Below are 15,152 nucleotides of genomic sequence, written 5' to 3'. Positions count from 1 at the left end.
TTCTGAAGTTCTGGAATTTAGTTTGTAGAGTGTCTTATGCATACCAATTCATGAAATAGGTGTAGACATGAATTGCCATCGGACATGAGTTTTAACCATTTTAGATAAGGTGGCCTATCAGGAACTAAGTTTGGCAGCTGGCGAGATGCTTAACAGTAATGACTTAACTTGAAGAAGATGTCTGTTGGAGGAAGGCAGGCCGGTCCTGTTAGAGTCATCAGGGAACCAGGCCTCTTCTGTGTTTGTGTTCTGCTGTCTTTTAGCAGGTGGTTTCTATATTCACCATAGCTCCATGATCACAGAATGGCTGTAGGAACTCCAGCCATCATGTCTGTCAGACAAGAAAGGGAAACAGAAGGGGTTTCCTTGTTGAGTCAGTTCTCTTTAGAGAGCTGTCTTGGAAGCTTCTGCTTGATGACTTCTGTGTATGTCTCATTGATCAACTCTGGAGGCAAAGGACCTGGACCTATTGCTGCCACAAATAAAGTTGTGGTACTCTACTAAGAAAGAAAAGGAGGCCGGGCGCAGTGGCTCATGCCTGTAATCCCAGCACTTTGGGAGGCCGAGGCGGGCGGATCGCAAGGTCAGTGGTTCAAGACCAGCCTGGCGAGCATGATGAAACCCTGTCTCTACTAAAAATACAGAAATTAGCCAGGCATGGTGGCAGGTGCCTGTAACTCCAGCTACTCCGGAGGCTGAGGCAGGAGAATTGCTTGAACCTTGGTTGCAGTGAGCCGAGATCGCACCATTGTACTCCAGCCTGGGTGACAGAGTGAGACTCCATCTCAAAAAAATAAAATAAAAAATAAATAAGAAAAAGAGAATGGATATGGATTAGTCAACTGTTTATTTTTACCAGGGAGGTAGCTGTGTGGAATGAAGTTTACATTGCTTAGGATTACTAATGGCTCTGGTGAGCTACATGAAAGTACTGGGAGAAAATTTAAATCATTGAATAATTCAGTGATGCCAGCACATTCTTCAGGCATATCAAGGCATATCATATGTGTGTGTTTGTCCCTTCAGTTTGAGTCACCTTATGGTCATTGGTCAGCCATGTATTAGCTATGACAGCAGGAACATTGGCTAGCTTTTTTCCATTGCAGGTTATTCCTCCAGCAAAGACATCAGTGGGAAGTGTCATTTATTGCCTTACTGCACATCCTGGCTTTTTGCCTTTTCTCCCCATGTCTAGTTTTGCAAAGGGAGGTAAATGATTGCTGCTTTAATGCAGGGCCAGGTTTCTTAAACCCATAGCAGTCCTGCAATGAGCTCTTTTTAATCAGCACCGAAAGTCTAGATTAATGCCAATATAGCTTTTATTACTTCTGCTGTTGATTCCCAAACCCCACCAACATTTTATTGTGAAACATTTCACAAGTACAGAAAAGTTTCAAGAATTGTTCAGTGAACATTTGTATATACCATACCTAGATTCTATACTTAATGTATTTGTTGTATTTGCCTTCTCATATAAGGCAGATCCTTTTCTCTATCCATCCAATTTTTTTTTTAATGCTTTTCAAAATAACTTGTAGACACCAGTGTGGTTCAACCCTAAACACTTCCTGGAATTGATTTTATATTAAGAATGCTTTCCATTGCAAGTGACAGTAATCCAACTCAAAGGATTTAAGTAAAAAAATGGAATGTATTGGCTTATTTGGCTGGAAAGGATATTGGGGAGATAGACTTATAGGAAGAGTTGCTGGAACTAGTGCCTTAGGGACTGGAGCCAAGACTCTGCTATCAGAACAGTTAACTCTGTCTATGCTGTCTCTCGTCTGCTTCTCACTACCTGGTTGCGCATTCTCCTACGAATATATCTTCCCCAAGGCAGGGAAGATGGTTACTGTAGCCCCAAACCACATTCTTCCTGCATGGTGATCCTGGAGGCCATTTCTCTTCTAGCTTTAGAGTGAGATAGCCCTGGAAAGGACTCCAGTTGACCTGACTTGCACCTGGATAAATCATGATGGGACACTGGCTTGGGAGGGTCACAGGATGTGTTACCAGGGGAGGTAGAAATGGAAAGTGTGCTGAGAGGAGTATAGTCCTCAGAAACTGCTTTCCCACTCATTCTCTGAGGCTGGCATAATCCTGGTACTTGATTAGGAAAGCACAAAGGAGAGCTACAAATGCAAAAATCGTTAAGTAAAACAATAGTATATTGAATCTAGAAGCATGGTAAAACAACAGTACTACTTCATGCACATGTAGGCTTTGTCCAATAAATGCAAGAATTGTTCATTATTAGGAAATCTATTAATGAAGTTAATAGACTGGTAGATGTTCCCCCCCCCCAAAAAAAATCTGCTTAAAATTTAACACTCATTCCTGATTTAAACCACTAATATAATAAGGTTCCAGCTAATTTAATAAGATAAGCAAAAGCAATAATCATAAGGCTGGGCGTGGTGGCTCACGCCTGTAATCCCAGCACTTTGGGAGGCTGAGACGGGCAGATCACGAGGTCAGGAGATCAAGACCATCCTGGCTAACATGGTGAAACCCTATCTCTACTAAAAATACAAAAAATTAGCTGGGCTTAGTGGCAGGTGCGTGTAATCCCAGCTACTCGGGAGGCTGAGGCAGGAGAATGGTGTGAACCCAGGAGGCGGAGCCTGCAGTGAGCCAAGATCATGCCACTGCACTCCAGCCTGGGTGACTGAGCGAGACTCCGTCTCAAAAAACAAAAAACAAAACAAAACAAAAAAAGAAATAATCATCTATCCATTGACTGGATTATTACAGTAGACTCTTTTTTTTTTTTTTTGATACGGGGTCTCACTCTTGTCACCCAGGCTGGAGTGCAGTGGTGTGATCTCCACTGACAGCAACCTCTGCCTCCCAGGCTCAAGCAATCCTCTCAACTCAGCCTCCTGAGTAGCTGGGACTACAGATGTGTGCCACCACACCTGGCTAATTTTTGTGTTTTTTGTAGAGACGGGATTTTGCCATGTTGCCCAGGCTGGTCTCAAACTCCTGGGCTCAAGCAGTCTGCCTGCCTTGACCTCCCCCAGTGCTGGGATTACAGGCATAAGCCACCATGCCTGTCCAGCAGTAGAGTCTTAATCGGTCTCTCAGGTTCAACTTTTATCGCCCTTCAGTCTGTTTTCAACACAGCAAATAGAGTGATATTATTAAAATGTATGTCATACCTCTTTTTGAAGCACTCTAAGCACTACAAGTAAAAGCTGAAATAATCAAGTACTAGACCTTAACTAATCTTCCCCCCTACACACATAGTTTTTTTTTTCCTCTTCATCTCCTGCAACTCTCTTCCTCACCTACTCTGCTCCAGCCATACCGGCTCAGTGACACTCCCTTCAGGGCCTTTGCCCTTGCTGCATAGCTTGTGCTCTCACTTCCTTTAGGTCTTTATGCAAAGGTATTCTTGATGAAGCCTTTCCTGATCTTGCTTTTAAACTGCACTCTACCCTCCTCTTAGGACTCACAACCTCCCACTTACCACCATATGACAAGTGTATTTTACTTACTTATTTAGTTTATCTCTCCTCTCTCACGCCTCCCTCCCTTAAAATTAAGTTCTGGTTTTGTTCCGAGGATTTTTTGTCCTTTCATTTATTGCTAAATCCCCAGTGCTCTGAACAGTTGGCACACAGTAGGTGCTCAATAAAAAGTTGATGAATTAATGAGTTGAAATAAAAACTGTAAATAAATTGTAAATAAAAAAAGGAAGAGAGAAAACTGCTTTGATTTACTAACTGGAAAACTTAAGACAATAGACAAAACTGTTAGAACTAATTAGAGTTTAGCAAGTTCTTTGAAAAAATGTAACGGACTCTGTATTAGTCTGTTTTCATGCTGTTGATAAACACATAACCTGAGACTGGGCAATTTACAAAAGAAAGAGGTTTATTGGACTCACAGTTCCACGTGGCTGGGGAAGCCTCACAATCATGGTGGAAGGTGAAAGGCACATCTCACATGGCAGCAGACAAGAGAAGAGAGCTTGTGCAGGGAAACTGCCATTTTTAAAACCATCAGATCTCATGGGACTTATTCGCTGTCATGGGAACAGCACAGGGAAAGACCCATCCCCATGATTCAATTACCTCCTACCAGGTTCCTCCCATGACCCATGGGAATTATGGGAGTTACAATTCAAGATGAGATTTGGGTGGGGACACAGGCAAACCGTATCAGATTCCTCATGACATTCAAAATAGAAACAAAAACTGCAAAATACCTAGGAATCAACCTAATAAGAATGTTAAAGATTATTTTATAAATAAAAATATAAAACTTGACACAAGGGTATATAAAATGAGAGGAAGGAAAGGAGAGACATAATCATGTTCCTGAGTAGGGAGCTCAGTACTGTCCAGATGCAGTATGATTATAATACAAATTCCCAGCAGAAGAGTTTATGGAACTTGACAAGCTGATTTTACACTTCCTCTGAAAGACAAAATGTTCAGGCCAGGTGTGGTGGCTCACACCTGTAACCCCAGCACTTTAGGAGGCCAAGGCGGTGGATTGCTTGAGGCCAGGAGTTCAAAAGCAGGCTGGCCAACATGGTGTAACCCTGTCTTTACTAAAAATACAAAAATCAGCTGGGCATAGTGGCGCACATCTGTAATCACAGCTACTCGGGAAGCTGAGGCATGAGAATTGCTTGAACCTGGGTGGTGGAGGTTGCAGTGAGCTGAGATTGCACCACTGCATTCCAGCCTGGGCAACAGATCAAGGCTGTCTCAGAAAAAAAAAAAGAAAAAAGAAAATGTTCGGCCAGGCGCGGTGGCTCACGCCTGTAATCCCAGCACTTTGGGAGGCCGAGACGGGCGGATCACGAGGTCAGGAGATCGAGACCATCCTGGCTAACACGGTGAAACCCCGTCTCTACTAAAAATACAAAAAAAAAATTAGCCGGGCATGGTGGCGCACGCCTGTAGTCCCAGCTACATGGGAGGCTGAGGCAGGAGAATGGCGTGAACCCGGGAGGCGGAGCTTGCAGTGAGTCGAGATCGCGCCACTGCACTCCAGCCTGGGCGACAGAGCGAAACTCCGTCTCAAAAAAAAAAAAAAAAAAAAAAAAAAAAAAAAAAAAGAAAAAAGAAAATGTTCAGTAAAAGCCATGGAATCTTTGAAACAATGATAGAAGGACTTGCCTCATCAGCTATAAAAGTAATCTGTATACTAGCAAGTTCAAGTGCTAGCTAGCATACCTTAAAGCTCTGATTATTTTTTTAAGCGCAGTATTCCTGTGAGAATAGGTAAATGCCTCAGATAGAGATCCAAACAATAGATCCAACTATATACGACAGTTTAGCAAATTCTGAAAGTGTCATTCCAGATCAGAGGATTAAAATAATATATGATCTTGGAATAGTCATTCCTGTTTGGGGGAACAAAATGCAGTTGGGTTCCTGCTTCACGAAAGTAAAAAAATTCCAGTGGAATAAAGAACTAAATGTTTTTTATAAACCAACATATATAATTAGAATGAAATTTGACATTTATTATTTTGTTTATAATACTGACTGGGGAAGGCACAAGAGGAAGACATAAAACCCTTAAGCTTAAAGGTGAAGATACACAGATTTAATTACATAACATTTTTAAACTTCGGCATGAAAAAGAGACTATAAACAAAATCTAGAGAATTGGAGAAAATATTTGCAACACATGGCCAAAATACAACTTTTTTTTTTTTTTTTTGAGACGGAGTTTCACTCTTGTCTCCAGGCCGGGAGTGCAATGGCATGATCTCAGCTCACCGCAACCTCCGCCTCCTGGGTTCAAGTGATTCTCCTGCCTCAGCCTCCCGAGTAGCTGTGATTATAGGCACACACCACCATGCCCAGCAAATTTTTGTATTTTTAGTAGAGACAGGGTTTCACCATGTTGGCCAGGCTGGTCTCGAACGTCTGGTCTCAGATGATCCACCTGCCTCAGCCTTCCAAAGTTCTGGGTTTACAGGCGGGAGCCACTGCACCCGGCCCAATACAACTTTTAAAATATGATGAAATATGTAAATTATTCTGAAAAAACTCAAATGACTGACTAGAAAGTAGGTAAAGAATATGAGTATGCACTCATAGAAAAAGAAATGTAGATAATCAATAAACATTTGACAACTTCCCTTGTAATTAGGGAAGTGTGAGTTGTAACTCAGAATTCTAGCCACTCATTTAGCATTAGTTGAAGAGTGGTAACACATAATTTAGAAACTTGTGGGAAACAGGTACTCTGGCATATTATAGGTAAACGGTTTAAAAGAACAATTTGGCAACACCTATCAAAATTTAAAATGCAGGCACCTCTTAACCTGGCAGTGCTACTTTTAGATCTCTTCCTTGTAGAAACTTTTGTGTTTGTGCCAAAGATGGACATAAAAGGTTGCTCACCGTAGCATTGTTTGCAATAGCAAACATAAATAGTAAAAATCCTGAATGTTCCATCATAGCAGCTGGTTAAATAAAAACAAAATAATACAGTACAACAGTTTTATTTGATTTATTTTTTATTTTTGTTTTGTTTTGTTTGACACAAGATGTCATTCTGTTGCCCAGGCTGGAGTGCAGTGGCTCAATCTCGGCTCATTGCAGCCTCAACCTCCTGGGCTCAAGCAGTCTCCACACCTCAGCCTCCTGAGTAGCTGGGACCATAGGCATGCCCCTGTAACCACCACGCCTAACTAATTTTTTGTAGAGATAGGGTTTTGCCATGTTGCCCAGGCTGGTCTCGAACTCCTGAACTCAAGAGGCAGGAGAATCACTTGAACCCAGGAGGCGGAGGTTGCAGTGAGCTAAGACTGTGCCACTTTACTCTAGCCTGGGCAACAGAGCGAGACACTGTCTCAAAAATAAATAAATAAATAAATAAATAAAAGGTATTCAACATCATTAGTGATCAGGTATGAGCCACTGCACCTGACCAGCAGTTTTAAAAATGAGATTTGGTTCTATGTACTAAGCTGGAAAGATCTCTGAGGTATAATGTTAAGTGAAAAAAAGCATGTTGCAGAGCAGTGACATATTTTATTGTTTTGCTTATGTAAAAACAAATACTTCCCCAACAGAAAAACACCAAAACTATGTATTACTGAGAGTTGCATACCAAATTGTTCACGTCAGTTTTCTATGATGAGATGAATCAGATTGGTATATGAGGATTCACTTTGTAAAACATTCAAGACACAAAGTGTACAGGATATAAGAAGAATATATTAGTATTTTAATTGTTTAATTTTCAAGATAAAGAAAGCATAAATCATGGAGAAAAACTGGGTAAAAATAAAATTTCCAATTTTTTTCTTCATTTCCAGGGAAGCAAGATAATGAAATATAAACAAACAAGAAAACATACCTGGCTGTTCATGCACAGTTGTTATAAAAGCAGTGAGCAGTGAGTTAACTATTTACATATAAGATGGGAAGAACAGAGATGATTGTTTAGAATTCACATATATTGTACCCACGACTGGCTTTATTGTCAGGAAAACAGTGGGGTTCAGCAGAAAGAAAAAGTTCAGAGTCAGGGTACCTGCTCACTTAGGTTCTGATGATGTTAATCTTTACTTAGCTTTGTGATCTTGGGCAAACTACATCTATTTAGCTCTTGGTTTCTTCTTCTTTGTCATCTATCAGTCATCTATCATGTCTAAATTCTGAGTCTGAATCCAAGGAAAATAAGAAATAAGTTATAATATGAAAGCAGCATCTTTGACGTAAGCTGCATTATTGGGTCTGCTGAGTCTATGCGTCTTCTAAAGGTAGAACTTACAAAGTCATTGGTGACCACATGCTCAGGTAGACCTGGGGGTTAGAGGGCAGTGTCATTGCTGGGTATGGTATATGTTTGAAAAAATTTATTTCTTTTTCTTTTTGTAGATAAGAGTCTCACTCTGTCACCCAGGCTTGAGTGCAGTGGTGCAATCAATGCAGCCTGGAACTCCTGGGCTCAAGTGATCCCCCCACCTCAACCTCCTAAGTAGTTGGGACTTCTGATGCACACCATCATGCCTGGCTAATTTTTTTATTTTTAGTTTTTGTAGAGATGAGGTCTTGCTGTGTTGCTAAGGCTAGTGTTGAATGCCTGGCCTCCCAGAGTGTTGGGATTACAGACATGAGCCACTGTGCCCGCCCTTTGAATATTTTTATTAAAAGGAAAAAAGACAGCCAGGCGTGGTGGCTCACGCCTGTAATCCCAGCACTTTGGGAGGCCAAGACAGGTGGATCACCTGAGGTCAGGAGTTTGAGACCAGCCTGGCCAACATGGAGAAACCTGTCTCTACTAAAAATACAAAATTAGCCAGGCGTGGTTGCGCATGCCTGTAATCCTAGCTACTCAGGAGCCTGAGGCAGGAGAAACGCTTGAACCCGGGAGGCAGAGGTTGCAGTGAGCCAAGATCGCGCTGTTGCACTCCAGCCTGGGCAACACGAGTGAAACTCTGTCTCAAAAAAAAAAAAAAAAAAAGAAGGAAAAAAGACTGGCTGGATACACAACAAACTCATAGTGGTGACCTCTGGGGGGTGAGGATCAATGATGACTTTAGGTTTTTATGTAATATTCCTTTTTTTCCCTCAAAATAGACAGTAAATATTCAACATACATAATTTTAAAAAGCAGTAATGTAGAAAAAAGCAAATATGCCAAAATATTAACAGTGGTTAATTCCGGCTGCTGGGAGTGTGGGTCATTGTGGGTTTTTTAATACTTACTAGGTTTTCTTTTTTTTAATTAAAAGGTAAATAATTAAGTGACACGTTTCATGGTTCATTGATGAATAAAAAACTATCTTCTGGTTAATAATTAAATTTGGGAAGCAGAAAATACACAAAGGAAAGGAAGAATTGAATTTAGTTTCACCATTTGATAATAAAATAAGAAACACTAATTAGGACAGTGTTTATCTCTGGGAAGAAGGTCTTTCTACATTTTATATGCTTGCACTTTCTTTGGATAACATAGTTGTGGAAAGGAAACTTTTCAGTATTGTCTTGGCTTTGTACAGCAGTAGTTGGGGAGCTGTTTTTTTCTTGGTCACCTGACCTTTTCATGCTTTTGTCACTTGCTGGTTGTAACTTTGAAAACCAAAGAGCTCTGGGTAACCTTGGCAGTAAAGCAGCCTACTGTCTGATGGGTTGGGAAGTGGGCCACAGGACCAACTCAATGAACTATTTCTAGTGCAGAGAATGATTGCAAGATCAGCCTTCTATTAAACATGAAAAAGTGGGGAGAGGCAGGCAATCTTCATTGCCCAGAAAAAGTTTTTCTGACTTTAATCTTGATCGTCTTGCTGTTTCAGCCTTGCTGCTTCTAAGACTTTCTTTCCTCTCACCCCCGTATTTTTATTATGAAAATGTTCAAACCATACATAAAATGTGAGAGGCCAGGCGTGGCACCTCACACTTGTAATCCCAGCACTTTGGGAGGCCAAGGCGGGCAAATCACCTGAGGTCAGGAGTTCGAGAACAGCCTGGCCAACATGGTGAAACCCTGTCTCTACTAAAAATGCAAAAATTAGCTGGGCATGGTGGCACACGCCTGTAATCCCAGCTACAGGGAGGCTGAGGCAGGAAAATCACTTGAACGCAGGAGGTAGAGGTTGCAGTGAGCCAAGATCGTGCCACCGCACTCCAGCCTGGATAACAGAATGAGACTTCAAAAAAAAAAAAAAAAAGTGAGAGAATAGTACAATGAATATTTGCTATACCCACCAGATAGATTCCACAGTTTTTAACATTTTGCCGTATGTGGTTTATCTTTTTTCTTCTTCTCAATCTGTCTTCTTTTATGTCAAACCTTTTTGAAGTAAGCTGCAGACATTGTGACATTTCACTTCTAAATATTTCCTTATGCATCTAAAATAAAGGACATCCTACTACATAACCATGATAACATTGCCATACCTAAGAAAATTAACAGTAGATCCCTAATGGTATCAAATACATAGTCCATATTCAAGTTTTCTCAGATGTCTCACAGATGTTTCCATTTTTCTTTTTTTTTTTTTTTTGAGATGGAGTCTTGCTCTGTTGCCCAGGCTGGAGTACAGTGGCGTGATCTTGGCTCACTGCAGCCTCTGCCTTCCAGGTTCCAGTGATTCTCCTGCCTCACCCTCCTGGGTAGCTGGGATTACAGGCGCACGCCATCACGCCAGGCTAATTTTTGTATTTTCAGTAGAGACAGGGTTTTGCCACGTTGGCCAGGCTGGTTACGAACTCCTGACCTCAGGCAATCCTCCCGCCTTGGCCTCCCAAAGTGTTGGGATTACAGGCATGAGCCACCATGCCTGGCCTGTTTTTCTTTTCTAAAAAAAATTTAAAGTTCATAGATTGCATTTTGTTGTTATTCTTTAATCCCTTTTACACTGTAAGAATTTTCCCTCTCTGTTGTTTTTGTTTTATATAATGCTGACTTTTTAAAAACTATTTCTCTTTTTTTTTTGGTAGAGACAGGGTCTTGCTATGTTGCACATGTTGGTCTCAAACTCCTGACCTCAGTTGATCCTCCCACCTCAGCCTCCCAAAGTGTTGGAATTACAGGCATGAGCCACAATGCCCAGCTGACTATTTTTAACTTCTAAAAAAATTTTTAAAATTGGCCAGGTGCAGTGACTCACACCTGTAATCCAGCACTTTGGGAGGTTAAGGTGGGCAGATTGCTTGAGCCCAGGAGTTTGAGACCAGCCTGGGCAACATGGTGAGACCCATCTCTACAAAAAAAAAAAATAGAAAAATTAGCTGGGTGTGGTGGTATGCACCTGTAGCCCCAGCTACTCAAGAGGCTGAGGTGGGAGAATCACCTGAGCCCAGGAAGTTGAGGCTGCAGTGAGTCGTGATCAAGCAACTGCACTCCAGCTTGAGCAACAGAGTGAGACCTGTGAAACCTCATCTCTACTAAAAATATGAAAAAATTAGCTGGGTTGGGTGGCGGGCGCCTGTAATCCCAGCTACTTGGGAAGCTGTGGCAGGAGAATCACTTGAGCCCAGGAGGCAGAGGCTGCAGTGAGCTGGGACTGCACCATTGCACTCCAGCCTAGGCAACAAGAACGAAACTCTGTCTCAGAAAAACAAAACAAAACAAGAAAAATACACATGCCATAAAATTTACCATTTTAACTACTTCTAAGTGTACAATTCTGTGGCACTAAGGACATTCACATTGTTAAACTAAAATCACCACCATCCATCCACACAACCTTTCATCTTGCAAAACTGAAGCTGTACCTATTAAACAATAACTCCCCATTCCCTCTCCCATCCAGCACCTGGCAACCACCATTCTATCTACCTTCTGTCTCTGTGAAGTTGACTATTCTGGGTACCTCATAAAAAAGTAGAATCATACAGAATTTGTACTTTTATGGCTGGATTTCACTTACCATAATGTTCTCAAGGTTAATCCATATTGTAGCATGTGTCAGAATTTCCTTTTTAAGGCTAAATAATATTCCATTGTGTGTATGTATCACATTTTGTTTATCACTTTGGGTTGCTTCCACCTTTTGGCTGTTGCAAATAGTGCTTCTATGAAGATGGGTATACAGGTATCTCTTTCAGTCCCTGCTTTCAATTCTTTGGAATTTATACCTAGAACTGGAATTTCTAGGTATCTTTTTCAGTCCCTGCTTTCAGTTCTTTGGAATTTATACCCAGAACTGGAATTTCTAGATCATGTGGTAATTCTATTTTTAATTTTTTAAGAAACTGCCATACTGTTTTCCATAGTGGTTGCACCATTTTACATTCCCACCAGTAGTGCACAAGGGTTCTAATTTCTCCAAATCCTTGATGGCACTTGTTATTTTCTAGTTTTTTGATAGTAGCCATACTAATGGATATTAAGTAATATTTAATTATGGTTATGATTTGCATTTCTCTAATGATTAGAGGTGTTGAGTTTCTTTTCATGTGCTTGGCCATTTGCATATCCTCTTCAGAGAAATGTTCTTTGCCCTTTTCTTTTCTTTTTTTTTTTTTTTGAGACAGAGTCTTGCTCTGTTGCCCAGACCAGAGTGCAGTGGCGTGAACACATCTCACACTGCAGCCTCAACCTCTTGGGCTCAGATGATCCTCTTACCTTAGCCTCATGAGTAGGTGGGACCGCAGGCACATGCTACCACATCCGGCTAATTTTTTTTTTTTTTTTTTTTTTTTTTTTTTTTACTTTTTGTAGAGACAGGGTCTCCCTGTGTTGCCCTGGCTGGTCTCAAACTCATGGGCTCAAGAGATCCCCCACCTTGGCCTCTCAAAGTGCTGAGATTACAGGCATGAACCACCTGCCTGGCTTCATTGCCCATTTTCGAATAGGAATTTTTGGTGATGGTTGTTGAGTTATATAGATGGGTTGTCTTTTTACTCTGTTGCTTGTGTCATTTGATGCACAGAAGTTCTAAATTTTAAATGTCCAGTTTATATATTTTTTTATTTGTTGTCTGGGCTTTTGGTGACATTTTCAAGAATTCATTGCCAAATCGAATGTCACAAAGATTTTCCTTTGTGTTTTGTTATAAAAGTTTTATAGTTTTATGTTTATGTTTAGGTCTTTGATACATTTTGAGTTAATTTCTTTATATGGTGTACGGTGAGGTCCAACTTCATTCTTTAGATATCTAGTTTTCCCAGCACCACTTGTTTGAAAGACTATTCTTATTGAGTGGTCTTGACATCCTTGTCAAAATCATTTGACCAGGTATGTGAGGGTTTGTTTCTGGTCTCTTTATTCTGTTTCATTGGTCTGTATATCTGTCTTATGCCAGTATCCCACTGTTGATGACTGTAGCTTTGTAATAAGTTTTAAAATCAGGAGTGTGAGTTCTACAGCTTTAATCTTTATCAAGATTGTTTTGGATATTCAGAGTCTCTTGAGATTCCATATAAATTTTAGAATGGATTTTTCTACTTCTGTAAAAAACATCATTGGGATTTGAGAAGGGATTACACTGAATGTGTAGATTGCTTTGGGTAACATTGACAGCTTAACGATATTGTCTACCAATGCATGAACAGAGGGTATCTTTTCATTTATTGCTGTCTTCTGTAATTTCTTTCAGAAATATATGAGTGGTCCAGTTTCTCTGAATTCTCAGTTTGGTAGTCACTGTTTTTCATTTTATCCATTCTAATAGAGGTATAGTAATATCTCATGGTTTTAATTTGCATTTCCATAATGGATAATGATGTCGAACATGTTGTCATAGGGCTTCTCTGCCATTTCTGTATCCTCTTTGACAAATTGTTTCTTTATACCTTTTGCCCATTTTCTAATTGGATTTTTTTTTTTTTACCATTGAGTTTTGAGAGTTCTTTATGTATCCACATATGGTTCTTTTTCAGATATGTGGTTTGCAGATATTTTCTCCCAGTCAGTAGCTTGTCTTTTCATTCTCTCAACAGAGTCTTTCATAGAGCAAAACTAAAATTGTAATGAAGTCCACATTATCATTTTTTTTCCCTATGGATCACACTTTTTGGTGTCAAGTGTAAGAACTCTTCACCAAATCCTAGGTCCAGAATATTTTCTTCTGTTTTCTTCCAAAGATTTTATGATTTTACATTTTCCATTTAGATCTATGCTTTAATTTGTATATAATGTGTAAGGTTGAGGTTTACATTTTTGCCCGTAGATATCCAGTTATTCTAGCCCTACTTATTGAAAAGACTATCCATCCAACATTGAATTGCTTTTGTGCCTTTGTTAAAAATTAGTTAGTTGTACTTGTGTGGGTCTGCTTCTGGTTACTCTATCTGTTCCATTGACTTATGTGTCTGTCCCTTAGCCAGTACCACTCAGTCTTGATTACTTTAGCTATGCAGTAAGTCTTGACATTGGGTAGAGTGATTCCTCCCACTTTTTCTTTTTCAAAACAGTTTTAAGCTATTGTAGTTCCTTTGCTTTTCCTTATGAGTTTTATTTATTTTATTTTTAAGAGATGAGGTCTCACTATATTGCCCAGGCTGGCCTCGAACTCCTGAACTCAAGTGATCCTCCCATCTTAGCCTCCTAGTAGCTGAGACTAAGACCTGTATCACTGTTCCTGGCTTATGTAAATTTTAGAATAATCTCTTCTACATCTATAAAAAATACTGGATTTTCATAGGGATGTGTTAAACTTACCACATTAGGGAAAATTGATATCAGTACTATGTTGAGGTTCCTAATCCATGAACATGGTATGTCTTACTATTTATTTAGATCTTCTTTAATTTCTTTAATCAGTGTTTTGTAGTTTTTAACATGTAAGTGCTGTGTATGTTTTATTAGGTTTATAACTAGGTATTTAATTTTTAAGAGATTATAAATGGTATTGTATTTTAAATTTTGGTTTTCTATAAAGTTACAATTGTCCCATCACTTTGGAAGGCCAAGGTGGGAGGATCACTTGAAGCTAGGAATTCAAGACCAGCCTAGGGAGGCAACAAAGTGAGACCCTGTCTCTCCAAAATTTTTTTTCAAAATTAGCTTGTGTGGTGGCATGTGTCTGTAGATCCAGCTACTTGGGAGGCTGAGGTAGGAGGATCGCTTGAGCCCATGAGTCCGGGAGTTAGAGACTGCAGTGAGCTATGATCACACCACTGCACTCCAACCTGGACATCAGAGCAAGACCCTGTGTCTAAAAAAAAAATTACAATTGATTTTTATATGTTGATCTTGTATCTTGAAGCCTTGTTGAACTCACTTATTAGTTCTAGGAATTTTGGTAGAATCCTTAAGATTTCCTACAGAGACCATCATGTCATCTACAAATAGGACATATCTGCAAATAGGAACAGTTTTCTTTCTGTCTTTTCAGTCTATGTGTCTTTTACTTCCTTTTATTGCCTTATTCTGTTGGCTAGAACTTCCGGTATTATGTTAAATAGGAATAATGAGAGTAGACATGCTCATCTTCTTCCTGACCTTAGAGGAAAAACATTCAGACTTTGACCATTATGTGTAATTACAAACTTTGCTTGGTGGGTTTTTTAAATGATCTTTATCAAGTTGAGGAAACTATTTCTAGTTTTCTGAGTGGCTTTTTTTCTGTTTTTTTAATTGATGCATAATAGAGACACACATTTTCAGGGTACATTCATATAATTTATAAAGATCAAATTAGTGTAGTTGGGATATCCATCAATTCTGAGTGTTTTTATTATGAATGGGTGTTGACTTTTATTAAGTGATTTTTCTGCATC

At 39.8% G+C, this 15,152-nt stretch overlaps 1 protein-coding gene across 3 annotated transcripts in view; it reads left to right on the top strand.

Annotated features, from left to right (window-relative positions):
- DNAAF9 (dynein axonemal assembly factor 9) overlaps positions 1–15,152 on the top strand; it is a 158,364-nt gene that overhangs the window by 7,646 nt on the left and 135,566 nt on the right. The gene's annotated exons all lie outside the window — the stretch shown is intronic.

The sequence above is a fragment of the Homo sapiens genome, chromosome 20, assembly GCF_000001405.40.
Source record: "Homo sapiens chromosome 20, GRCh38.p14 Primary Assembly".
NCBI classification, from domain to species: Eukaryota; Metazoa; Chordata; class Mammalia; order Primates; family Hominidae; genus Homo; species Homo sapiens.
The sequence above is the reverse complement of the archived record's forward strand: the minus strand, read 5'-3'. Positions and strand labels throughout refer to the sequence as shown.